Source organism: Homo sapiens, chromosome 10, assembly GCF_000001405.40.
Source record: "Homo sapiens chromosome 10, GRCh38.p14 Primary Assembly".
Classification (NCBI taxonomy): Eukaryota; Metazoa; Chordata; class Mammalia; order Primates; family Hominidae; genus Homo; species Homo sapiens.
The window spans coordinates 30,603,049-30,630,389 of NC_000010.11; the positions used below are offsets into that span (position 1 = coordinate 30,603,049).

General features: G+C 43.0%; 1 protein-coding gene and 1 long non-coding RNA gene across 5 annotated transcripts, besides 1 other annotated feature; one reads left to right on the forward strand and one right to left on the reverse strand.

The window, feature by feature from the left end:
- Window positions 2,195-3,010: an enhancer, noted in NCBI's record as "H3K4me1 hESC enhancer chr10:30894172-30894987 (GRCh37/hg19 assembly coordinates)". NCBI's record gives its function as "activates a minimal SCP1, AML or CMV promoter by ChIP-STARR-seq in primed H9 embryonic stem cells {active_cell/tissue: H9 hESC(primed)}" and the evidence as "EXISTENCE:reporter gene assay evidence [ECO:0000049][PMID:30033119]".
- On the reverse strand, window positions 3,173-26,705 carry LYZL2 (lysozyme like 2). Of its 4 annotated transcripts, none has more exons than XR_930469.3 (5): window positions 26,545-26,705; window positions 23,729-23,892; window positions 23,057-23,215; window positions 4,374-4,487; window positions 3,173-3,252 (listed from the first exon to the last, which is right to left on the reverse strand). XR_930469.3 is itself a non-coding variant. In NM_183058.3 (5 exons), the coding sequence occupies exons 2-5, from the start codon at window positions 23,865-23,867 to the stop codon at window positions 8,907-8,909; spliced, it is 447 nt and encodes a 148-aa protein (NP_898881.3). In that variant the 5' UTR covers window positions 23,868-23,892; window positions 26,545-26,705; the 3' UTR covers window positions 8,731-8,906. The 4 variants fall into 4 exon arrangements, 3 of the variants coding, with proteins under 3 accessions (NP_898881.3, XP_011517608.1, XP_011517609.1); NM_183058.3 differs by lacking the exons at window positions 3,173-3,252; window positions 4,374-4,487 and adding exons at window positions 8,731-8,976; window positions 9,774-9,852; XM_011519306.3 differs by lacking the exons at window positions 3,173-3,252; window positions 4,374-4,487 and adding an exon at window positions 8,731-8,976.
- Window positions 12,199-13,822, forward strand: LOC124902404 (uncharacterized). Its single transcript, XR_007062103.1, has 2 exons — window positions 12,199-12,373; window positions 13,756-13,822. It is a non-coding gene; the product is annotated as an uncharacterized LOC124902404 (long non-coding RNA).
- Window positions 26,706-27,341: the final 636 nt, after the last annotated feature.

Consider the following 27,341-nt stretch of genomic DNA (forward strand, 5'->3'; position numbering starts at 1 on the left):
ATTTCCCTGTAAGATATTAACTAGCTTGTATCTAACCCAGTAATCGTACCCTAACATTCCTTTTGTAAATTGCCTGTAAATACCTAGCTTTTCACATCTCTCCGACCTGGTATTAAGACCTTACTGATTTCCTCATTAATTAATGAGTCAGATAAAGTGTTTGACATGTATTCATTTTATACTCGCATGAAGAGTCCTGGATTTATCTTTTTGGAAACTGTGATTTTGCTCTCTCTGCACTTGTAGACCTCAGGGTATGGTTTGTTCTTCTGTTACAGGGAAAACCCAGAGCTGCAGAATCAACTAATTGGTTAGACTCACCATTTGCATAGCATAGTGCCTGGCACAGTTACTCACATATTTGGGGTTTTTTGGTTCTGTTTTGGTGGGCTTTTTTTTTTTTTTTTCCACATAGATTCTCACTGTAGCCCAGGCTGCAGTGCAGTGGTGGGATCATGGCTCACTGCAGCCTCGAACTCCTGGACTCAGGAGATCCTCCTGCCTCAGCCTCCCCAGTAGCTGGGACTACAAGTGTGCATCACCACACCTGGCTAATTTTTTAAAATTTTTATGTTTTTTTTAGTGAGGGGGTCTTGTTATGTTGGCCATGTTGGTCTCAAACTCCTGATCTAAAGAGATTCTCTCATCTCAGCTTCCCAAAGTGTTGGGATTACAGGCATGAACCTCCATGCCTGACCTTCAAATATTTGCTGAATGTTGCGTGTGTTCTGTCCTCTGTTGTCCCCAGTCTGCTTTGATGATGAGGCTCCACTCTTGAGGTCCCTGGATTGACTCTCAGCCATCAAGGGGGAAAGGCTTCCTGAGTCCTCAGGGAATAGTCAGAAGGTGGGTGACCCCGATGCTCTTTTCCCAGTGTATTAATCCATTTTCACAATGCTGTTAAAGACATAACCGAGACTGGGCAATTTACAAAAGAAAGAGGTTTAATGGATTCACAGTTCCACATGACTGGAGAGGCCTCACAATCATGGTGGAAGGTGAAAGGCACGTCTCACATGGCAGCAGACAAGAGAAGAGCTTGTGCAGGGAAACTCCCATTTTTAAAACCATTCGATATCGTGAGACTTACTCACTATCAGAGAACAGCCTGGGAAAGACCCACTCCCCATGATTCAATTACCTCTCACTGGGTTCCTCCCATGAAATGTGGGAATTGTGGGAGTTACAATTCCAGATGGGATTTTGGTGGGGACACAGCCAAACCATATCACCCAGTGCAGAGAGAGGATGCCATAGCCCAAGGGAAGCTTGTCCTCAGCAGGGCCCCATTAAGTCTCTTACTCAGGGTTCATGACTTTGGCTGGGCATTAGAATCAATGAGGGAGTTTTTTAAAACCTGCATCAGGACCCCATCTTCAGGGAGACTGATTTAACTCAAGTGAGCCAGGTCTGGCATCTGCATTTTTTGTTTTGTTTGAGACAGAGTCTCACTCTGTTACCCAGGCTGGAGTGCAGTGGCGTGATCTCGGCTCACTGCAACCTCAGTTTCCTGGGTTCAAGCAATTCTCCCTCAGCCTCCTGAGTAGCTGGGATTACAAGCGCATGCCACCATGCCTGGCTAATTTTTTTTTTTTTTTTTTTTTGAGACGGAGTCTCACTCTGTCGCTCAGGCTGGAATGTACTGGCTCGATCTCGGCTCACTGCAAGCTCCGCCTCCCGGGTTCATGCCATTCTCCTGCCTCAGCCTCCAGCGTCTGCCACCATGCCGGCGAATTTTTTTGTATTTTTAGTAGAGATGAGGTTTCACCATGTTGGTCAGGCTGGTCTCGAACTCCTGACCTCGTGATCTGCCTGCCTTGGCCTCCCAAAGTGTTGGGATTACAGGAGTGAGCCACCGTGCCTGGCCAGCATCTGCATTTTTTTGAAATGTCCTGACGATTGCATTATGCAGCCAGGGTTTGGAACCACAGTTCCAGCCCTGTCCCTCAGCTGGCCCAAGGGATTGCAGGCCGTCCCTCCCATTGTCTCTCCTCAAATGTGGGTAACCTGAGCTGTGTTCTAAGGGCCTCCCAGGGGTGTTATTCCCTGTGCCGCCGGCCACATGTTGGTCTTTGTGGTGGGCCCCAAGGAGCTCCAAAGTCCACAGAAAAATCCCAATTCCTCAAAGACTCTCATCTTTCTCCCCACCGCCCGCGCAGACTGCTCCATTGTCGATTTTTTCCTTTCCTCTTCTTTTTTCTCTTCTAAATTCTGAGTTCCTGGCAGACACTAAAATGTCTCAGAAGCAGAAACCAGCTTTGATCAACTGTCAGCAGAGTCGAAAACTACAATTTTATCTCCTTTCTCTAAGGTCCTTCTTGGGCACCCCGTGGCAGGCCTTTGGGCTGCCTTGTGCACATGACCCGCTTCCCTGGCCTCCGTCCCAGCCCGACCTCTCCTGCCCTCCACTCTCTGCCCCTCCCCTCCTCTGTCCTTCCCACCCCCCTGCAAATTAATGTGTTGCTGCTGCTGAGAGAGTGGGTTCTGGAGCGGGCTTCTTTCTGGCCTCTCTGCCATCACAGGCTGGCAGCTTCAAAGCTCGAGTCATCCTGTTTCCGTCTGCCCCTGAGCCCGCGTGGCTTGGCTTCACTGCAGGGGTCAGAAGTGCAGCCTCAGCCGATGACAGCAGCCTGGCCTGGCCCGACAGTGACCAGGGGACTCACACCCATCTGATGTCTCCCCTCCTCTGCTATTATCCCTCCCCTTCTCCGCTATTTTCTCTCCCCTTCTCCACCTCCTCCGGCCCCAAACAGTCCTTCCTCTGGAAAGATAAGGCCCTCTTCTCAGTTCCCGCATCCCTTCCCTTTTATGCCAGACAGAGGCAGCCCTTTGTGAAGGGGGGTACGGGCTTTTGCACAAATATTTAATCTCTTCCAATCTGCCCTTTTGCACTGCCTGTCAGTTCCTGGGGTTGAAACCACTCTGTTTGCTTTAGCTGGCAACAGGATACTGTTTTGAAAACCTATATTTGCTTTTCAAGGCAAGTATATATTTAGTTTTTTCATCCTCACCAAGAATTATGCTGCCAGTTGGGGTGTGGTCTTGAGCAGGCAGGGAAATCTAGCGATGAGTTTACCTTTTCCCTGTAGCTTAGAAATCTTAGTAGCAGGGACTTGTGAAAATTAACTTAGCCTCAGTTTCAGGTTGTCTCATTCAGCCACGATCTGCCCTCTTGCTTTTTGAACATGCCTTTATTTCACATAAAATGTAGTTTATCTTGTCGAAGTGTCTGCAGGTCCTGTTAGAAATCACCTGGTACAAAATCATAGAGAAGGAAAAATACCGAAATAGAATAATAATTACTTTTTTTTTTTTTTTTTTTAGAGATAGGGTCTTTCTCTGGTGCCCAGGCTGAGTGCAGTGGTGCCATCATAGCTCACTGTAGCCTTGAACTTCCAGGATCAATCGATCCTTCCACCTCAGCCTGCCAAGCAGCTGGGACTAGCAGGCATGCACCTCCATCCCCAGCTGAATTAGTCACCAACGCTTTTTAAAAGCCTGGTTTGTGCCATGTGCTTCTAACACAGTTGCTAGTCCTTCCCATGGCCGTGCATGGCAAATATTGTTATTCCTATTTTACAGGAGGTGAAACACAGAACTTCAGTGTCTTGTCTGTACTCACGGAGCTAGTCTCAGAGGAGGTGGGCTTAACTTAACTCTGGCAGCTTCTCAAGGGCGCCCTGTCTACTCCCCACTCTGCACAGCTATCAACTTTGCTCTATCACCAGGGACAGAGGACCTGGAGCTACAGTAAGGGCATGTTTTGGGTTTTTCAGTACAGTACCAACTTGAAATGTTTTCTGTTAGTACCAACCAAATGGTAGATGATGGATCAAACTGTGATCAGCTTTCATACTTTTGGTCTTTTTTTTTTTTTTTTAAGAGATGGAGTTTCGCTTCTGTTGCCCAGGCTGGAATGCAGTGGTGCGATCTTGGCTTGCTGCCTCCACCTCCTGGATTCAAGCAATTCTCCTGCCTCAGCCTCCTGAGTAGCTGGGATTACAGGCACCCGCCACCACGCCTGGCTAATTTTTTGTATTTTTAGTGGAGACGGGGTTTCACCATATTGGCCAGGCTGGTCTCAAACTCCTGATCTCAGGTGATCCACCCGCCTTGGCCTCCCAAAGTGCTGGGATTACAGGTGTGAGCCACCGCGCCCAGCCTATTTTCTTTTATTTTTAGAGTTTTGAAAAATATTTTCTACCCTACAAAGAATGTAGATTATTGTTATGAACAGAGCCTAACCAATAAGGTGAGTAAAACAATGCCTCCATTCAATACCCAGCGTTTCTTTTGGGTTACATCAGCAAAGGAGGCCCCAGTGGTAAAAAATGTGCAAACTGCAGCTTCGTGTAAGGAAACGGATTCTTTACCTCTCTCCTCTCTCCTGTTCTCCAGCAAGACTCTGCTTATTAGCTTCTGCCCTTGTGCTTCCTCTTCTCTTTCTGTTACTGGAGGATCAGTTTAAACAGAGGTGCTTGCTGAATCTGTAAATCAGAACAGTTTCTGAGTGTCCCCTGTTCCGTTTCCCTGAACTTGTGGAATCGGATGAGAGACGGGAGAAAAATGAGGAAAAGAATCACCTGTTCAAGGCAGAGTGCTGTGAAGCTGCCTTCCTGGCCCCTAAGGAGCCTCATGTTACTCCCAAAGCTTCTACTACACCCAGGATTCCTCCCAGATCAGGACCCTAAGCTCTCCCTGGCTGCGGCTTTTTTGCAAGCTGGATGTGTGAATTTCCACCCTTAGACATCATTGCGTGTAAAGAACTGCTCTCAGCCTGAGCCCTGGGGGATAGCAATGTCCGTCCTCAAGCAGTCGGACCCTTCAAGACAGAAGCACTGTAGAGGAAATCCGATAACCTGGAGAAACATCGCCAGGAGGCTGAGTGGGCCTGGAGTGGGCTAATTAGCCTACGTATCTTGCTGTGTTGCCCAGCCAGACTAGAGGGCAGTGGTATAATTACAGCTCACTGCAGCCTCAGCCTCCCAAGCTGAAGTGATCCTCCCACTTCAGCCTCTCAAATAGCTGGGACCACAGGCGTGTACCACCACACTTGGCTAATTTTAAAACTTTTTGTAGAGATGGGATCTTGCCCTGTTGCCCAGGCTGGTCTCCAAATCCTGGGCTCAAGCAATCTTCCAGACTCAGCCTCCCCAAGTGCTGGGGTTACAGGCATGAGCCACCATGCATGGCCCTTAAACCTTTTAAATCAAAAAATGTAATTGGTTTCTAGTTGGAAAAAGTAACTGTTGTTTATTGGGAGTTTCAATTTTAGATATCTAGATCATTTTCCTTCCATTTTGGAGACACAGAGAAAATCTTTCTGGCTTTCTTGATAAAGCCTCTACTTTTAAAATTCACCTTGAAGAGATTAAATTGCTCCTGCAGATCTTTCAGGGGCTGGCTTAGGGTTTGTGCCATATTTGAGACACTCAAGGAAGTGGCTATATGGAACGCAGGTGAAGGGCTCAGGTACTTCCTGTTCGTAAAGGAACTAGGACACGTTCTGTCATTGAGTTCTGAAGATCCCCGCAGGGCAGCAGGGGCCTCTTGGATTCTCTGCTGTCGCGCTGTGGCCCCTGGGCGATAGTTACCCCTTCCGTATCTCAGGGATGTGTGTGGAATGAAGGTTACATTCCCCTATATCCCAAGGTTGTTGTGAGGAGCATATGAAATAATAAACATGAACTTGATTTGAAAACAAAAATGTTCTTAATGCGAGGTCTGATTTGTATTCCTTCTGTGATTCCACATGTGTCCAGTGGCACAAAAAAACCCATCAAATTTTTTAATTAATTAATTTTTTTAAGAGACAGGGCCTCACTCTGTCATCCAGGCTGGAGTGCAGTGGCTCGATCATAGTTCACTGAAGCCTGAAATTCCTGGGCTCAAGCGACCCTCCCACCTCAACCTCCTGAGTAGCTGGAACTACAGGTGTGCACCACCACACGCAGCTAATCTTTGTATTTTTTGTAGAGATGGGGTCTCATTGTGCTGCCCAGGCTGGTCTCCAATTCCTGGCTCAAGTGATCCTCCTGCCTTGGCATCCTACAGTGTTAGGATTACAGGCTTGAGTCATTGTGCCTGGCCAACATCTAATATTTTTGAATGTTAACTATTATGTGTTTAGCACTGCAGAAGGGACTGTGGACAATATAACAGTGAAAGACATGGTCTAGGCCTCAAGTAGCTTACAGGCTGGATGAGGACACCAATTCCCAGTGACCTAATCCTATGGCACACACCAGCCACGAGTTCAGAGGCAAGAGCACTAGGGGGTTAGAGGAGCAGGGAGCTTCATGTTGGCTGGGTCAGGCTTGAACAGGCTTTAGGGGAGAAGCACAACCTCCAAGTTTGGGAAAAACCAGGAGCAAGGACATCTGTAGGGAAATGATATACTGGGTATAAAAGGAATCAAGAGAAAATTGCAGACCAGACCAGAAAGCATCCAGGAACAAACAACAGAGAACAAGTTGGGATACAAAGAGCCAGATGCTGGAGATAGCAGGGGCTGTCCCAAGAACCAGGCAGAGCTGAGTCCCCACAGAAAGCATGTCCCCACATAAGCCAGTCACTATCCCCTAATACCCAAGAGTCTGCTCAGTGTACCTGGTAACCAACAGATAATGTGGCCATGGGGAGAAAATGAAAATCTACTTCCAAATATCTATAAAGGGAACATGAGTGTGGGTTTTTCTAAAATATACTTCTGTTGAATAAAGATAGCTCAGGCATAGAAGTAGTCATTTCCTCTTGAATTTCTGAAGGCATTAATTATGGAAAATTATCTGGGAAATGCATTTTTTACCCTAAATTATTATAGAAATAAATCAAATATGGGGGAAGAGTAGGATTGCATGCTTAGAAATTTTATGAGTTTTGCAAAAAGATACATGAGTCTAATGGTAGCACACCCAGTGCCCTTTCACCTTGAATTTTGAAGCACTTATTTTTGGAGTCAGTTTTCCAATCAGGGGTATCCAATCTTTTGACTTCCCTGGGCCACACTGGAAGAAGAAGAATTGTCTTAGGCCACAAATAAAATACATGAACACTAACAATAGCTGATGAGCTAAAAAAAAAAAATCACAAACAAATCTCATAATATTTTAAGAAAGTCTACTAATTTGTGTTGGGCCACATTTAAAGCCATCTGGGCTGGGTTTGAAAAGCTTGATTTAAGTAGAAGCTGGAATAACATGGGGAACTCTCTGGATGTTGGGGGTAAGAGCTGCAATTTTATCTATTTTGTCCTATTAGACTTTCCAGCAGGATTTGGGGTAAAAGCTTCAATTGAAAAAAAATGTTGCAGCCATAAAAAAGAATGAGTTCATGTCCTTTGCGGGGACATGGATGAACCTGGAAACCATCATCCTCAGCACACTAACATAAGAACAGAAAACCAAACACCACATGTTCTCACTCATAAGTGGGAGTTGAACAATGAGAACACATGGACACTGGGAGCAGAACATCACACACTGGGGCCTGTTGAGGGGGTTGGGGGAAAGGAGACGGAGAGCATTAGGACAAATACCTAATGCACACAGGGCTTAAAAAATATTGTAAAGACAGAGTCTTGCTATGTTGCCCAGGCTTGTCTTGAACTCCTGGCCTCAAGCAATCTTCCCACCTTGGCCTCCCAGATTGTTGGGATTAAAAGCATGAGCCACTGTGCCTCACTGGAAGTCTTATTTATTTATTTTTTTTTCTGGAAAAAAGTGGATGGTTTTCTTCAATAGCAAGATATGTCATGGAAAACTTGGAAAATGCCGAATGCAAAATACAGAAAATACAACTAAAAACCTTCATGAGAATTTTAATCATCAAACCATGAATCTCAGTTGCCTTGTCTCTCCACATCTCTTGCGTGCGTGTAGGTACACAAATGGTGTCTAGGCTTGTGGGTATGCATACATCGATGGTCCTTCTGGGGTACTCTTAAGGGGGTCCCGCCCCTCAGGTGCTCCTAGCTCTTAACCTAACCCTTCTGCATGTGTCCTGTTTCTGAGGATGGCCCTGAAGATGAGGGAGTCTTATTTTCGAATGAGTCTTATTTCGAATGGCCACAGGAACCAGGACTCCCTACAATGAAGAAGGGACGTTTGTTTCCCTCAGGGCTAGAGCATTTTGGAGGCAATTTTTCAAGTCTTAACACGATGCCATTAAGACATCATTGAAACTGAGTCAGGGTGGGGTGCGATGGCTCACACCTGTAATCCCAGGACTTTGGGATGCCAAGGTGGGCAGATCACCTTGAGCTCAGAAATTTGAGACCAGGCTGGGCAACATGGAGAAACCCCATCTGGGTGTGGTGGCACATGCCTGCAATCCCAGCTACTCGGGAGGCTGAGGCACAAGAATCGCTTGAACCCGGGAGGTGGAGGTTGCAGTGGGCTGAAATCGTACGACTGCACTCCAGCCTGGGGGACAGAGCACAAGACTCTGAAAAAAAAAAAAAAAGGAAGGAAGGAAAAAGAAAGAAGGAAGGAAGGAAGGAAGGAAGGAAGGAAGGAAGGAAGGAAAGAAAGAAAGAAAGAAAGAAAGAAAGAAAGAAAGAAAGAAAGAGAAAGAAAGAAGGAAAGAGAGGGAGGGAGGAAGGAAGAAAGGAAGAGAAAGAGAGAAAGAAAGGAAGGAAGGAAAGAAAGAAAGAAAAAGAAAGAAAGAAAGAAAGAAAAGAAAAGAAAGGAAAGAAAGAAAGAAAGGAAAGAAAGAGAAAAGGGAACCGAGTCAGGGTGAAGACATTTAAATGGAAATATTTATTTTCTTAAAAGTATAGCTTAATTTTCCCTCTCCAAGTTTGAGAAGGAATATTGGGAGGAAACGGGACAAGATGACACAGGCATTTGGACATTCACTGCAAACCCTAGGGCGTTGCTGCAAAGCATCCTGGGTCCAGTTCCAGTTTAGGAAACCTCACAGTCTTTTTTCCAGTCGGACAGGTCTCTCCCCTCACAGTGTTTCTTCCAGCCTTGCCTGAGGACGAGAGGGAAGCAAGAGCAGCAGAAAGAAGCGTGACAATCCAAACCGTCTCAGTTTCAAAGTCTACAGAAATTAACCAAAATCGCCAGCGGAACCCTGGGTTGGGTTTCATTTGCTTCTGAGATCAAAGGACGCTGTCATTTTGCCTAGTTCAGACTTTGATCTCCTGGTTTTCTCCTAGCCACTGTTAGCCTCAGCAACAAGCAATCAACTTTTGTAAGGATGGGTCATTCCATGTCACACCCACATCTGTGAAAATTCGGGTTCCCTGAGTGGGGCCGGCTGGCAATGTTCACCAGAACACAGCAGCGGGGAATGCAAGGCCCCAGGCTCAATGCTGGGGACGCTTTCTGCTGAGTCGCCATGACACAGACCTGCTCACTTTCCTCTTGCTGCTGCTCATTCTCTTTCCCTGCAAAATGTTGCCGTAACCTTCAAAATCTTATCCAAATCTAGAGCAAACTCAAGCTTTTTTTTCCCTCTGGTGAATTGACTCAATTGACCCTTTCCAAGTCACTTTAGAAAATACCTTTCTCCATTGTTTGGAATATGTTCATATGAAAAGCAATTGCAAATTATCTTAACTCACTCCCATGTCTCTGCTCCCTTTCTATGTACTACTATGTTCACTGCACACCCACACACTGATGGAGGAGAATATAGACAAGGTCTCCTTCCATTGGTTGGACCACTCTGCGGAGGTGAGTTTGTCAATTCCACCATAACTGTGATAAATACACACACTAGGTTTTGCCCATGACAGCCCAAGTCTTCCAAGGAAAGACTCTTACCAATAGTTCATTCCTTGTGTCTCTTTAACAATTTTCTTGGCACAGATAATCGCATCTGTGAGGTCATCAGTGACCAAGGCTGTAAAAAGAGAGGTCATCAGGGTTAGGCGAGACTTTGTTGTTGGAGAGGGACCCCAACTCAAGTTTACTTCATTTTTCTCAGTCTTTTTGGGATGGGAAGGTTGGAAGAACTATAATTTTCCCTGCAAAGCCACAATCTCATTTCTGTTGAGCTTCTTCATAATGAAAAGAACTTTGCTTTTGTTTTAAGACCATCTTCATCTTGCACTACCTGACATTTCAGAGGAAGAGCCCAATCCTGAAGGGTTTTTGGAAATGTGTTTAGAGAAGACGCTATGTGAAAATGTTCCTTATGTCCTACAGAAATAGGCACAGGCCGGGCGTGGTGGCTGACCTGCAATCCCAGTACTTTGGGAGGCCAAGGTAGGAGAATCACTTGAGGCCAGGAGTTTGAGTCCAGTCTGGGCAACATAGCAAGACCTCATCTCTACAAAATGTAAAAAAAATAGCCTAGTGTGATGGCACACACCTGTGGTCTCAGCTACTTGGGAGTCTGAGGTGGGAGAATCACTTGAGCCCAGGAGGTCAAAGCTGAAATGAGTTGTGTTTACATCACTGTACTCCAGCCTGGGCAACAGAGTGAGACTCTGTCTTAAGAAAAAAAAAAAAAAGGCACATAAGACAGGATAGTATAGTGTTTTCTGTATTTGGGTTAGTTTGACGTGTAAGGTTTCTTTACAGGTAAATATTAAATTTTGTCTATTGTCATTTTTCAGTTTGTGTCTTAAAAAAATTTTATCCAGGGTGTTTTTCATGTGCAGAAAGTTTTACCTTTTAAATCAAATACACCAGTCTTTGTCTTTATTACTTTTCCTTTTCTGTTTCCTTTTTGAGACAGAATCTCACTCTGTCACCCAGGCTGGAGTGCAGTGGCATGATAATAGCTCACTGCAGCCTCAACCTCCTGGCCTCAAGCAATACTTCCACCTCAGCCTTCAAAATAGCTGGAAATACAGGTATGCACCACCACGCCTGACCATTTTTTATTTTTATTTTTGTAGAGACAGGGTTTCACCAGGCTGGTCTGGAACTCCTGGGCTCAAGCAATCCTCTGGCTTTGGCCTCCCAAAGTGCTGGGATTACAGACATGAGCCACCATGCCCCGCCACCTATTATTTTTTCTATTGCTTCAGACATAACAAATCTTTGAATTGAAATGTATTAGTTGATATCCACATTCTTTCCTGCTTGCTTAGAAGCGGCCTCAAAATCCTCAACACAAACATGACAGAAAAAGGCAAATAAACAAAACAAGTTCAACATTACTTCTACTGCAAGTTGAGTCCTCCAGGAGCTGATGCTGAGATGGGTTTGAAATGCCAGATATTTTCAGCAATCCACACCTATGAAAGGAATCGGCTGGGGGGAAGCAGGATGGGCAGACGGAGATGTCCATTTGTGACGCAGACCCAGCAATTCATTGGGCAGCCCAGCCATGAGCTCCCGAGTGAGCACTGCCCATCAGAGTGGCCCAAGTCAGGCCCACATGCCAGGTCTGAATGCCTCTGCCTCACACGTCAATGGGTGTGGGTCACCCCGGAAGGGAGCAACCTGCACCTGAAGCCAATCCTGAAGCAGGTGGCAGGTACTGTCTGCTCATCACACAACTGCAGCGGGGGCAGCATGTCTTCCCTTAGCAGGGGATCTGGGAGGCCCATCTCCATGACCACCACAACCACCAATCAAGGACAAAAATACTCAAACCACTTGATCTCATTACTGCTTGTCAATTATGCAAAGATTTTTTTTTTAAGAGAATTGGGTAATGCTGGATGTTGACAAGGGCACAGAGAGGCAGGTTCTCTGGATACTTGCTGGTGGGAGTATAATGGATTCAATGTCTCAGGAAACCAACATAGCAGCATGTGTTTAGAGCCTTAACGAGGTTTTTATCCTTTCACCTAATAATTTCTCTCTCCAGATCTATCCTAAGGAAATAGTCATGACACTAGACAAATATTTCTTTACAAAGTGGTTTACTATAGCATTATTTACAAGAGTTAAAATGAAAAAATCTAATTGCCTCATAATCAGTGATATTCAAATTAGTCATAATACCTTCATTTAATAAAATAAAGAGCTGTTTGAATTATGTTTTCCCAGGATATTTAATAATATGGAGAAATGCTCCCAATGCAATGTTAAGTTCCCAATATCATAAAAATATCCATTGAGAGCTGTATTGGCTAATGCCAATATGGCAGGCATTAGCAACATGTGATAATTTAAATTAAAATTATATTTGTTGACAGGTGAATGGATAAAAATATGTTTATATAGAGAGTGGAATATTATTCAGTCATGGAAAAGAAGGAAATGCTGACATTTGCAACAACATGGAAGAACGGAAGGACGTCATGCTAAGTGAAGGAAGTGAGACCCAGAAAGACAAATACCACATGATTTCACGCATATGCAAAATCTACAAAAGTTGAACTCATAAAAGCAGAGAGTAGAGCGGTGGCTGGTTAGGAAAATGGGGAGATGCTGATGGAAGGGTCCAAACTTTCAGTTATAAGGTGAGGAAGGTCTGGGGGTCTAAGGTAAGCTATTGTGACCATAGTTAATTATACTGTACTGCTTACTTGAAATTTGCTGATAGTGGATCTTAAGTGTTCTTCTCTCTCTCTCTCTCTCTCTGTCTCTCATACACACACTCTGTCACACACACACAGTAATTATGTGAGGTAATGTTAAACTCAATTGTAGTGATCATTTCCCAATGTATAAATATATCAAATTATCATGTTATTTACTTTAAATATATACAATTTTGATTTGTCAGTTATACCTCAATAAAGCTGGGAAAAATATAAAAAATTGTAATTAATTAACATTAAAGACAATTAAAACTTTAGTTCCTTATTTGTTCTAGCTACATCTCAGATACTTTATAGCCACTCATGGCTAGTGGTTCTGTTTGACAGCACAGATGGAAGACATTTTTGTCATCATGGAAAGTTCTATTAGATAGCACTGGTTTAGAAAAAAAAAGATAGTCATTAATTCACCAGTATTTTAAGAAAGATTGGCTCTTAACTGTGGGTTCACCAATGCTTTTATGTCTTTACTGTATATTTTCTAAAATTTTTTACAATTGAAATGTACTACTTTTATTACCAGAAAAATAACCAAAAATAATGTTAGCATAAAATGTTGCATTTCAATAAGGCATTGTAATTCCAAATTATTTTGTTAACTCAGTTGAAAGTGGAATTTTTCCTTGAGCATGCTATTTCCTTGAGTTGCTAATTTTGTTGCTTTCTCAGTTAGGCTTCACTAGAAGATAAACGTAGTGATAGATTTTTTTTAAGCAAATTTATTCTAAATGTGGCTTAATTTTTATTTGAAACAAAATTCTATTAACCAGGAGAAAAAGTAACAAAATACATCGTCTATAAGAGATAGCAATTGAAACAACATACGCAGATTCACTAGCATTTGGTTTATAGTTCTACAGTGAAAACTAAAGCTATATCAGCTTATAAAATTCTCTTGCCAGCCTGGTGCGGTGGCTCACGCCTATAATCCCAGCACTTTGGGAGGCTGAGGCGGGCAGATCGCCAGGTCAGGAGATGGAGACCATCCTCTCAAAACAAACATCCATCTCAAAACAAACAATCAAACAAACAACAACAAAAAAGTCTTTTGCCTATCTTCTTGAGATATAAATATTTAGGATAATAACAGCTATTACCACTAGCTAATACTTTATTGAAATCTTACTCTATGTCAGGCACATGTTAAATCTCTTCACGCAAAATCTCCATCAGTCCTCAGAACAACCATTTCTATGGGTACCATTTTATCCCCATAAACCAAGTTCACACACTCAGTTAATGAGCCTGTATTCCGATAGAGGGCTTAAATTCTGTTTTCCTCTGATTCCTTCTTCCAACAGAGGCCACTTAAGCAAGATTCCTGCTCATGGAACACTATATGCTAATAAAGTTGATAATGAAAATATACTTTTAATTTTTCTAGTAATTATTTACTTTTAATATACTTTTAATTTTTCTAGTAATTATTTACCTATGAGATTATCCAAACTTAAGCATTTGGTACCTGATATATGTTCAAATTACTTAGAGACCCTTTATTTCGGGTGCATAAGTGCTTAATAAATGCTGAGACACTCGTTTGTGTTTGGAAGTGGTCTAGCGTATTTCCTGGGAGACATGGGTTTGGGGCTGTCTCTAGGGGTTGGAGAGACACAGTGAGGAGGAAGCAGATCACATTCTATTATTCTGGGATTGGAGGTCATCCCAGGCATGTACAGAAAGTGCACATTTGTACTGGGGGCAGGGCAGTTTGCTTGGCTGGCAATGTTCTGTAAGGATTCCTGAAAGGGTCAGGCCATGCAGGACCAGGAAGCAGACACCGCGTAAAGTTGTTTGTCCCCTCCTATGTTGTTAGAGCATTTTGTTGCACAATTGGGATGTTTTGAAAGTACTCATTGGACACAACTGAATTTCCTTAGGAAAGTATGTCGACCGGGCGCGGCGGCTCACACCTGTAATCCCAGCACTTCAGGAGGCTGAGGCAGGCAGATCACTTGAGGTCAGGAGTTTGAGACCAGCCTGGCCAACATGGCAAAACCTGTCTCTACTAAAAATACAAAAGTTAGCTGGCTGTGGTGGCACACGCCTGTAATCCCAGCTACTCCAGAGGCTGAGGCAGGAGAATTGCTTGAACCCTGGAGGCGGAGGTTGCAGTGAGCCGAGATCGTGCCACTGCACTTCAGCCTGGGTGACAGAGTGAGACTCTGTCTCAAAAAAAAAAAAAAAAAAAAAAAAGAAAAGAAAAAGAAAAAAAAGAAAAGAAAAGAAAAAACTGGAAGCATTCCCTTTGAAAACTAGCACAAGACAGGGATGTCCTCTCTCACCACTCCTATTCAACATAGTGTTGGAAGTTCTGGCCAGGGCAATCAGGCAGGAGAAGGAAATAAAGGGCATTCAATTAGGAAAAGAGGAAGTCAAATTATCCCTGTTTGCAGATGACATGACTGTATATCTAGAAAACCCCATTGTCTCAGCCCAAAATCTCCTTAAGCTGATAAGCAACTTCAGCAAAGTCTCAGGATACAAAATCAATGTGCAAAAATCACAAGCATTCTTATACACCAATAACAGACAAACAGAGAGCCAAATCATGAGTGAACTCCCATTCACAATTGCTTCAAAGAGAATAAAATACCTAGGAATCCAACTTACAAGGGACGTGAAGGACCTCTTCAAGGAGAACTACAAACCACTGCTCAAGGAAGTAAAAGAGGATACAAACAAATGGAAGAACATTCCATGTTCATGGGTAGGAAGAATCAATATCGTGAAAATGGCCATACTGCCCAAGGTAATTTATAGATTCAATGCCATCCCCATCAAGCTATCAATGACTTTCTTCACAGAATTGGAAAAAACTACTTTAAAGTTCATATGGAACCAAAAAAGAGCCCGCATTGTCAAGTCAATCCTAAGCCAAAAGAACAAAGCTGGAGGCATCACGCTACCTGACTTCCAACTATACTACAAGGCTACAGTAACCAAAACAGCATGGTACTGGTACCAAAACAGAGATATAGATCAATGGAACAGAACAGAGCCCTCAGAAATAATACTGCATATCTACAACTATGTGATCTTTGACAAACCTGACAAAAGCAAGAAATGGGGAAAGAATTCTCTATTTAATAAATGGTGCTGGGAAAATTGGCAGGCCATATGTAGAAAGCTGAAACTGGATCCCTTCCTTACACCTTATACAAAAATTAATTCAAGATGGACTAAAGACTTAAATGTTAGACCTAAAACCATAAAAACCCTAGAAGAAAACCTAGGCAATACCATTCAGGACATAGGCATGGGCAAGGACTTCATGTCTAAAACACAAAAAGCAATGGCAACAAAAGCCAAAATTGACAAATGGGATCTAATTAAACTAAAGAGCTTCTGCACAACAAAAGAAACTACCATCAGAGTGAACAGGCAACCTACAGAATGGGAGAAAATTTTTGCAATCTACTCATCTGACAAAAGGCTAATATCCAGAATCTACAAAGAACTCAAACAAATTTACAAGAAAAAAACAAACAACCCCACCAACAAGTGGGCAAAGTATATGAACAGACACTTCTCAAAAGAAGATATTTATGCAGCCAACAGACACATGAAAAAATGCTCATCATCACTGGCCATCAGAGAAATGCAAATCCAAACCACAATGAGATACCATCTCACATCAGTTAGAATGGCCATTATTAAAAAGTCAGGAAACAACAGGTGCTAGAGAGGATGTGGAGAAATAGGAACACTTTTACACTGTTGGTGGGACTGTAAACTAGTTCAACCATTGTGGAAGTCAGTGTGGCAATTCCTCAGGGATCTAGAACTAGAAATACCATTTGACGCAGCCATCCCATTACTGGGTATATACCCAAAGGATTATAAATCATGCTGCTATAAAGACACATGCACACGTATGTTTATTGCAGCACTATTCACAATAGTAAAGATTTGGAACCAACCCAAATGTCCAACAATGATAGACTGGATTAAGAAAATGTGGCACATATACACCATGGAATACTATGCAGCCATAAAAAAGGATGAGTTCATGTCCTTTGTAGGGACATGGATGAAGCTGGAAACCATCATTCTCAGCAAACTATCACAAGGACAAAAAACCAAACACCGCATGTTCTCACTCATAGGTGGGAATTGAACAATGAGAACACATGGACACAGGAAGGGGAACATCACACACCGGGGACTGTTGTGGGGTGGGGGGAGGCGGGAGGGATAGCATTAGGAGATATACCTAATGCTAAATGAGGAGTTAATGAGTGCAGCACACCAAAATGGCACATGTATACATATGTAACAAAGTTGCACGTTGTGTACATGTACCCTAAAACTTAAAGTACAATAATAAAAAAATTAAAAAAAAGAAAAGAAAATTTAGATATTAAAGAGACAGCTCTTTCAAATACTAAAAAATGGCATGTTGCAAGTGTTAAAAAGCTGGAAAAATTCACAAAAATCTGCAAAAAGGAAATATTTCTGCAATTTTCTGTTTGGCACAGATAATATGATTTTCCTACATATTTTTGTGTTTGTATTTATCGATTGCTTCTTCATATGCCAAAAATTGTGTAATATCATCTTCTACAAGGAGAATAGAAGGATCGTTTAGAATTTCCTCAAGGGCAGAGGTTGGTAAACTGCAGCGTGAGGCCACTGCTGTTTTTGTAAATAAAGTTTTATTAGAACACACAAAAAATAAAAATAAAAAACAGATCCCTGGGTGGAGATTTAAGATGCTAATGAGACATGAGATGTATGGACAATCATGTACAGCTACTGAGTAAGTGCACCAAGAGGATCGCCCAGAACATGCTTACTAGCAACACCTCTTCCCACCCGCTTATGAGTAACCATGGAAGTCTCCATTAAAGGGAGCATCCCTGGTACCAGTCTTTGTTGTCCAATCTTCACGAGCAGCCTGCCTTGATATCTTCCTCTCTCAGGGTGTACTGTCTATTCTGCACCTAACTTTCAAAATAGTCTTTTTCTTTCTCAATAAATTACTTTATGCTACATCTCCTTTGCTATGTGTCTTTTGTTGAAATTCTTTTAAACTAAGAAGACAGGACCCGAGGACTCACAAGAGCCGTCAACACATACACTGTGTGTGTATTCAATAAAAAATTATTCCATGCGCAGAGGCAGAGAAATGTGACACATACTAAGAAAAAGATCGGTCAAGGGCAAGACTCAGAAAGGACAGTTGATTGCATTAGCTGATAAGAAATTTAAATCACTGCTTATAAATATGATGATTTATATCAAGGACTTAAAGAGAAACAGGAATAAAATGAAATGAAAGAAACAAAATTATGATGCCAAATAAAAAACACAGTATCTGAAAAGAAACATCCAATCAATAAGTTTAACAGATTAGCATTAAAAAAAAAAGTAACAGCCGACTTGAAGACATAATAATGGAAACTATTGAAAATAAAATACAGGGAGGGAAAAATACTAAAAAACGAGGAACCTCAATGATGAATGGTACAGCATCAGCGATCGAACATACATGCCGTTAGAATTCTTGAAGGAGAAAAGAAAAGCATTAGAAGAAAGAATGGCTGAAATGTTTCCAAATTTAATGAAAATTATAAACTCAGGGATACAAAATGTTAATGAATACCAAGTAAGATAAACACAAATATCACACATCATCGAATTGCTGAAAATGAGTGACAAAGAGAAAATCTTAAAAACAACTAGAGAAAAAAAACACATATTACATACCGGGGACAAACAGAAGGAAATCACTGGTTTCCCATCATACACAAGGCAAGCCAGAAAGCAACCGAATATCTTTAAAAACTTGAAGCCAAGTGTGGTGGCTCACAACTGTAATCCCAGCACTTTGGGAGGCTGAGGTGAGAGGATTGCCTGAGCCCAGGAGTTTGAGACCAGCGTGGGTAACATGACGAGACCCCATCTCCACAATTTTTTTTTTTTTAAATCAGCCAGGCATGGTGGCACGTGCCTGTAGTCCCAGCTGCTCAGGAGGCTGAGGCATGAGAATTACTTGAGTCCAGGAGGTCAAGGCTGCAGTGAGTTGTGATCATGCCACTACACTCACAGTGTTGTTCTGAGACAGAGCACGACCCTGTCTCAAAACAACAACAATAACAACTTGAGGTGGAAAAGAACTGTCAGCCCAGAATTTTATATGTAAAGAAAATATTCCTCAAAATCAAAATAAGTACAGATATTTTCAGACAGAAAGAATGCTTGCTAATAGACCTCTACTCTAAAACAAAACAAAACAAAGTTAAAGAAAGTTCTTTAGGCTGAAGGAAAACGATATCAATTAACTGTCTGCTCAAGTAAATCCACCAAAGGAATGAAGAGTATTGGAAATAATAATGTGTAATAGATACTATAAAACTTTTTTCTCATTTAAAAATTTATTTAAAAGACAATTGTTTAAAGAAAAAATTATAAAAATGCATTGTGAGGTACACAAATATAGAAGAAAAATGCATGACAATACAGCACAAAGGATGGAATAGGAAAAATTGAAGTATACTGTTAAGAAACTCATACGTTACATATGAAGTGGTGTGTTACTTGAAGGTAAGATGTAATAAGATAATGATGCCTATTGGAAACCCTACAGTAACAACTAAAAACAAAATAGAAGTATAGCTAACAAACCAATGGAGGAAATAAAAGAGAATACTAAAAAATATTCAATAAATTCAAAAGAAGGCAGAAAAAATGGAACCAAGAATAGATGGCACAAACAGAAAACAAAATAGCAAGATGTAATTTAAAACTAGCCATATCAGCCGGGTGCAGTGGCTCACTTCTGTAATCCCAGCACTTTGGGAGGCCAAGGTAGGCAGATCACAAGGTCAGGAGATCGAGACCATCCTGGCTGACACAGTGAAACCCCATCTCTACTAAAAAAAATACAAAAAATTAGCTGGGCGTGGTGGCATGTGCCTGTAGTCCCAGCTACTCAGGAAGCTGAGGCAGAAGAATCACTTGAACCCAGGAGGCAGAGGGTGCAATGAGCCAAGATCGCGCCACTGTACTCCAGCCTGGGCGACAGAGCAAAGCTCCAACTCAACAAAACAAAAAAAGAAAAAAAAAGAAAAAGAAAAAACTAGTCATATCAGTAATCACATTAAATGCAAACGGCCTAATCATGGCATAACCCACAGGCCAATCTCCCGTTTCTGTAAATAAAGTCTTATTGGAACACAGCCAGGCCCATTCATTTATATACTTTCTATGGCTGCTTTCACACTATGTCATGGTTGGGTAGTTGCAATCGAAACCATATGGCCTGAAAAGCCTAAAATATTTATCATTTGGCCCTTTAGGCAAACATTTGCTGACCTATGTTTTAATCACTCCTACTGAAAAACAGTAATTACCAGAATGGATATAAAAGCAACACATAACTCTACATGACTTATAAATAATTCACCTTAAATATAAAGACAGATGGATTAAAAGTAGAAGGATGGAAAGAAACATACTATACAAATATTTCCTCAAAGAAAGCGAGAGTGGGCTATACTGCTATCAAACAAAGTAGATTTCTGGATGAGAAATAGCACCAGAGTTAAGGAGAAACTTGGACTCCAGTGATAAAAGAGTCAATTCACCACAAGGACATAACAACCCTCAAAGAATATATGCCTAAGAACAAAGCTTCAAAAATGGACGAGACTGAAAGGTGAAATAGACAAAGCTAAAATGATAGTTGCAAATTTCAATATGTATTTCTCACCGTATAGTAGAACAAGTAAGAAAATTAGAAAGGAAGTAACAATCATTTATAGAACATCCACCCACCAAATATAAAATACACATTTTTTTTCCAAATGCACATTCACCGTAAGACACATTTGCTGTGCTGTAAAACAAGGTTAAAGAAATATTAAAGGTTTGAAATCATATAGACCTGGGATCTCCAACCCCTGAACCACAGACCTATGTGTGTCTGTGGCCTCACAGCAGGAGGTGAGCAGCAGGTGAGTGAGTGAATCTTCATCTGTATTTACAGACCCTCCCCATCTCCCACATTACTGCCTGGACTCCACCTCCTGTCAGATCAGTGGCCGCATTAGATTCTTATATAGGTGTGAACTCTACTGTGAACTGCGCTTGCAAGGGATTTAGGTTACATTCTCCTTATGAGAATCTAATGCCTGATGATCCGTCACTGTCTCCCATCACCCCCAGATGGGACTGTCTAGTTGCAGGAAAATAAGCCCAGGACTCCCACTGATTCTACATTATGGTGAGTTGCATAATTATTCCTTATATATTGCAATGTAATAATAATAGAAATAAAGTGGACAATAAGTGTAATGCGCTTGAATCATCCTGAAACCATCCTCCTCCCCCTCGTCCACGGAAAATTTGTCTTCCACAGACTGTTCCCTGGTGCCAAAAAGGTTGGGGACCACTGATACAGACCATATTCTCTTACTGTAATGAGGTGAAACTAGAAATCTTTAATAAAAGCTCATTCTGGGATCATCCTTCACTCTCAGGCTGGGCATTCCTCTTGCCTTTCTCCCTCATCGAGTCCCTTGTTTCCCGAACTATGTTTCCTCTTACTTGCTTTAGTTTATCCTTTTGGTGGAGTATGTTTTCCTATAGTTTTGTGAGAGAGGGTGCATGGGAGCTGGGCTGAGTATCTCATCTTTGCCCTGATGGATCCACTCTCTACCCTTCTCCACCATGCTCTGTGCACTCAGAGGCCAACACACACAGTTGGCGTCAATGGATTCCCATGTCCTCTGACTTCTGGAGGGGTTTAAATAAGAGTAGGCATCAGCAGGGAAGGGACAGAAGAAGGACACTGAGGTTGGCATATACATATAATATCTTCCAGCTTTATTTCTGTCAGGTCACTCAGCACAAGTCATGTCCCTTGAGGGAAGATCTCAGATCCTAGAAGGCAGTCCTCTCCCGGCAGACCTTTTGTACCTCAGTGCTGGTCAAAGCTCTCTTTCCATTCCTCTTTGGGCAAGGGATTCTTAATCCCTCACTTCACTATTGCCATGGTTTTTCTATGATTTGATCAGATCCTTGTAAGTAGAGTCTATTAATATTCTCTTCCAATTACCCAGTTTGCATTTGTTCTGTTTTCCAGCCAGGATTCTTTATGATACAGGAGGTAAAAAATGTAACAACTTGATTCTCAGAAAATATACTCTAGGTGGCTAGAACTACAGGCATATGCCTGGCTATTTTTAATTTGTGTGGAGACAGAGTCTGGCTGTAGGGTCTCACTATGGGGTCTCGCCCAGGCTGGTCTTGAACTCCTGGCCTAAGGTGACTCTCTGACTTCACTCTTGTACCTTGCATGGCAAAAGGGACTCTGCCTGAGTCCTTAGAAGCAGAGAATCTTGCCCAGCTGTGGTTACAGAGAGATCCCATGACAGAAGAAGGAGGAAAGATTCAAAGTGTGAAAGGGACTCGACCCACTATTGCTGGCTGTGAAGATGGAGTAAGGGGCCATGAGTCAAGGGGTGTGAGTGGTCCCTAGAAGCCTGGAATGGCCCTTGGGTGACAACCTGCAAGCAACAAGGATCTCAGTTCGACACCCCCAAGGAACTGAACTCTGCCAAAACCCAAATGAGCAAGGACATGGATTTTCCTACAGAGCCTCCAGAAAGGAAAACAGGCCTGTGAGCACCTTGACTTCAGCCCTGTGAATCCGCTGGCACTCTTCCAGCCTAGAGGACTGTAAGGAAATTTTGCGGTGTTTAAGCCACAAGTTTGTGGTAATTTTTTAGGGCAGCATTAGAAACTTAATTCCTTTCTAAGTGAATTCAATGATATTTTAATGACTCGGTATGTTGGACAAGATTCTCTCCTTCTAAGGACTCATGAGATTGGATTGGCTCCACCCACATTGCCCAGGATAATCTCTCTTGCTCAGGCTCAGATCCTTCCTCACATCTGCAAAGTCCCTTTTGCCATGTAAGGTACAAGAGTGAAGTCAGACAGTCACCTTAGGCCAGGAGTTCAAGACCAGCCTGGGAGAGAACCCCATAGCAAGACCCCACAGACAGACTGTCTCTACAAAAAAAAACAAAAATAAAAATAGCTGGGCATATGCCTGTAGTTCCAGCCACCCAGAGGAGGGAAGGTTGCTTGAGTCATGGAGGTCAAGACTGCAATGAGCTATGAACGCACCACTACACTCCAGCCTGGGCAACAGAGTGAGACCCTGTCTCAAAAAAAGAGAAAAGAGAAAGAAACGTAAATTGTATTCATCTCATTCTGCTCAAAGAAGTACAAACTGCATCCTTTGAGTGAATTGCTTATGGAAAGCAGCTGGCAGGCAGCTTCCTTTTTCTTACTGAAGACATCAAATATCTCTATACATGAAAGCACAGTAGGGTTGTTTGTCCATCCCCCTGCTTTAGGGGAGGGCTTCATAAAACTGTCTACAAGGAATAAGTCATCTTTGGACAAGTCAGCCGCAGGATCCTGAGTGTCACCTTGGAAACTGTTGCATAATTTACCAATCTTGAACAGACCTATTTGCAAGTCTGAACTCCAAATTTTAGTTAAAGCAAGACATGGTTGGTGATCCCATTGTCGGCTTTCTCACCTGGTCCTGAGGATGGCATCACTGGAAAGTCAGAGCCTCACCTGAGCAGGCGACGTGGCAGTGGTTGTTCTCCTTCAGCTTTCCGCGTCTGCACCACGCGAAGCTGTTGATCTGGAAGATGCCGTAGTCGATGCTGCCGTCATCCAGGACCGTCTGGGCTGTGGTGTTGTAGCCGCTCTCATAATACGCCATGCAGATCCCTGGAGGGGGGAAAGCCAGAAACGCCAGCAAAGGAGGTGCCATCTTTTGCTCTAAGCTTGGTCTAAGGGCAAGTTTCCTCATCCCTGTTACCTGACTGCTTCCTCCCAATACACCTTGGGCAGGGCAGGGCGGGCATGTGCCCAGGGGGCACACGAGGGGCACATCAGGGGCTGGGATGGCACACCTGAAGCTGCACACCCAGTCAGGGGCTGAGCCTAATCTAGACCAACAGTCAGGTCCCCCCACTCCCCACAATGCCAGCAGAGGTGGCATTATTTTCCCCTTCCCTGGCTAGTGTCATAAGGACAGGACTCCAGGAATAAGGAAATGAGGGGCAGGGGAGGAAGGAGAGGAGACCCAGAGAGCCACAGTTAGGCCAGCAGCCACCCCTGGGTGTGGTGAGGGCAGAGCAGGGGTAGTTGGGGAGACACAGCAGGGAGTGTAGCCAGGACCTTCAACATCTCAGGGGAAAGGTCAAGGACAGAAAGAGAGCAGGAAAGAAATAATCTCACAGTTTCCAAGGCTGAAGCCCCAGTAATTGTCCAGGCCAGCCCTCGAGAATATTTTTGCCAGTTTGCAACGAGTGTAGATTTTGGACTCGGCGCCTGTGACCAGGCAGCCAATGAGGGTCAGAATGCCCGCAGCCTTCATCCTCAAAGCCTGCCGGAGACAGAACCTGCCAAAGAGCCGGAGAACAGGTCAGACGATCTTGATTCAGGAACTTCGAAATCCAGCATCGGTGACTGTGCACAGCCCTGCCTAGATGCTGCCTGTCACTTTGGTCATTCAGTGCCACCATCAGGGAAAACCGGCCACTCTACGGTCCAGGGAAGGAATGTGACTGCAGGCTGTCTCCTTAATGCTTTTCCATACAGTAACTTTCAAGTCAATGCTGTGTTCTCAGGGTTAAGTAAGTGAAAAAATTAACCTTCCTTAATACACATCCAGGTGAAAACCACAAGGGGCATTTTTAGGATTTCTATTTTAATTCTATGAATGAAAAATAGAATACAGGGGTGAAACATTCCCTATACTGCTGACCCTTGAACATCATGGGTTTGAACTGCGTGGGTCCATTTATCCGTGAATTTTCTTCTGCCTCTGCCACCCCGAGACAGCAAGACCAACCCCTCCTCTTCCTCCTCCACCTCAGCCTGCTCAGTGTGAAGACCACCAGGATGAAGCCCTTTATGATGATCCACTTCCACTTAACAAATAGTAAATATAATATAATAGTAAATATTTACTATTAACAAATAGTTAATATTTACAAATAGTAAATATATCTTCTCTTCCTTATGATTTTCTTAATAACATTTTCTTTTCTCTAGCTTACTTTATTGTAAGAATCCAGTATAGACATAGAACGTACAAAATATGTGTTTATTGGCTGTTCATGTTATTGGTAAGGCTTCCAGTCAGCAGTAGGCTATTAGTCGTTAAGCTTCTGGGGAGTCAAAAGTTACATGCAGATTTTCAACTGAGCAGGCATTGGCACCCCGACCCCTACATTTGTTCAAGGATCAACTGGGTGTGTAGAAACAGACACCCCATTTCAGCCAGAGATGAAATACACGTGGACCTGAATGGAAAACTTTAAGATTCATCGTCTAGGCCAGGCGCGGTGGCTCACGCCTGTAATCCCGGCACTTTGGGAGGCCGAGACGGGCGGATCACGAGGTCAGGAGATCAAGACCATCCTGGCTAATGCGGTGAAACCCCGTCTCTACTAAAAATACAAAAAAATTAGCCGGGTGTGGTGGCATGTGTCTGTAGTCCCAGCTGCTCGGGAGGCTGAGGCAGGAGAATGGCGTGAACCCAGGAGGCTGAGCTTGCAGTGAGCGGAGATTGCGCCACTGCACTCCAGCCTGGGCGACAGAGCGAGACTCCGCCTCAAAAAAAAAAAGATTCATCGTTTGGGGGTTTATTGAAGGGTGAAGATTAAGCACCTAATCTTTCCTTTTCTTTTCTTGATGCATTTCAAAATGTGGGAGCATTGCTTCCAAAGTACTAGTGTTTTATCTTAGATTGCAAATGCATTGCTTTGCTAAGCTTCACAACCAGTGCTCCGGGCGGCCTCCTAAAAGTCTGGCACCTGACTGGGGAGCAAGAGGGATGGAGGACAAAGCCTCATGAAAGGAGGAAAGCACCTGGGGGAGCAGAGGGACAATAAAGAGGCCCCCATAGAATCGTCTGAAATGGGAGTAGGATCAAGAGCGCTGTCTCCTGCTGCCTACTGATTTTCCACAATCTCCTCCCCTCTTAAAATAATGTCTTCCCCAAACACAACAGCCTTGCTGGGATGGGGTGAAGTGAAATTTCTGACAACTACTCGGGATCCTGAACTTGATGTTCTTACATATGTTCATCCCGTGTCATTTTCTGCACTTGCCTGGAAACTTCTCTAGTCATTAGTTTCTCTCCCTGGGGCTGGATTCCTGCATTGAAAGGCTAGGCCCAAAACAGGGATAAGTAGTCATCAGCAAGGCCACCGCACCGAGTAACAAGCAGGGCTTTAAGGTGACTAAGCAATAAGATAAGGAACTGCATTGCATGAGGGGCATGTACATTACAAACGTGAATAGCAAGCGTGGGCAAACCAGGCCCGCTTTTGTATGTAAAGTTTTATTGAAACATAGCTACTCTCATCATTTGGTAATATATTGTTGGTGGCTGATTTCCTGCTGCAGTGGCAGAGTTGAGTAGCTGTGTTAGAGGCTGTATAGACCACAAAGCCTAACATATTATTATCTGGCCCTTTTCAGAGAGATCATGCCAGTCCGTGGTGTACAGCATTGTGCTAAGCTGTGAGGGACAGACAAACGAGGTTTAAGATGCAGAGCTTAGGCTGGGCATGGTGGCCCACACCTGTAATCTCAGCACTTTGTGAGGGTGAAAAGGGCAAATTGCTTGAAGCCAGGAGTTTGAGACCAGCCTGGGCAACAAAGGTAGACCTCTGTCACTACAAAATACACAAAAATTAGCCAGGCATAGTGGTGTGTGACTGTGGTCCCACCTGTTTGGGAGGCTGAGGTGGGAGGATCTTTTAAGGCTGGGAGGTTGAGGCTGTTGTGAGTTGTGATTGTGCCACTGCACTCCAGCCTGGGCAACAGAGTGACATCCTGTTTCAAAAAAAAAAAAAAAGATGCAGAGCTTACAAATAAGGTTGGTTTCCATCCTCTGCCTTAGAATGTTAACTGATCTCAAACAAGTCAAAACAAAACCCGTAGCAATGATAACCCCAAGCATCATGTTCTACATCCTTCAAGAACCTGCCATTGCTGGTTCTCAGGGACAGGTGGCTTCATAAGAGTAATTTAGGTCTTACTGAAAAGGCAGATTCCTGGTGCCTGCCGCAGAGGCTGACTTCTCAGTTGAGTCTGCGGAAGAAACACTGCTCCACTTAGTCGGTGACAGGCAGCTCAGGGGAGCGTCCTGCATCCCCTGAAGCCATGTCTGATTCTAACAAGGCTCGAGTAATCCTTTCCTAGCTCAAGAACCTTTCTTTAGAGTGTTAGAGAAAGAAAAATTCTTAGTCCTTTGTTTCTCACCACCTAGAGATGCTAGAATTCTACTTCTTGGCACTAAAAGCTATATCATCCTGCACGCTTGTGTTCTGAAGCAGGTGCTAACTCTCTTCTGGGCCTTAATACCTCTCGTTTTTTCTCTTTTCCTCTCAACAACTGTCCTCACTACACAACTTGGCCAGGGCCTCCCGTCCAAGTGAGAGCTCTTCTCTAAGGCAACAGTCTGCAAACTTTATCACAAATTCCATTAATAAAGTTAAGCATGTATCCTCTTTAGATGTATATTAAATTATAAATCACACTTCTGTACCTCTGTACTAATATGCTACATAAATTATCAACATACACAAAACTAAAATCTGAAAATGAATGAGAGGTGAAATTAACATTAAAAATTAATTAACAGCACATTTCTTTGCTATAGTTATATTGTTAATTAATAAAATATTGTCAAAGGAGGGCCACAAAAGAAATAAAAAATTTTTATGTATAATTAACATGATTTCATTGTTTTTTAAAAATTTGGCTTAACACTTTGTGACTCAATAAAGAGCTAGTTTGAAGGTCCATTTATTTCTGTGTTCAGATTTAATGACAC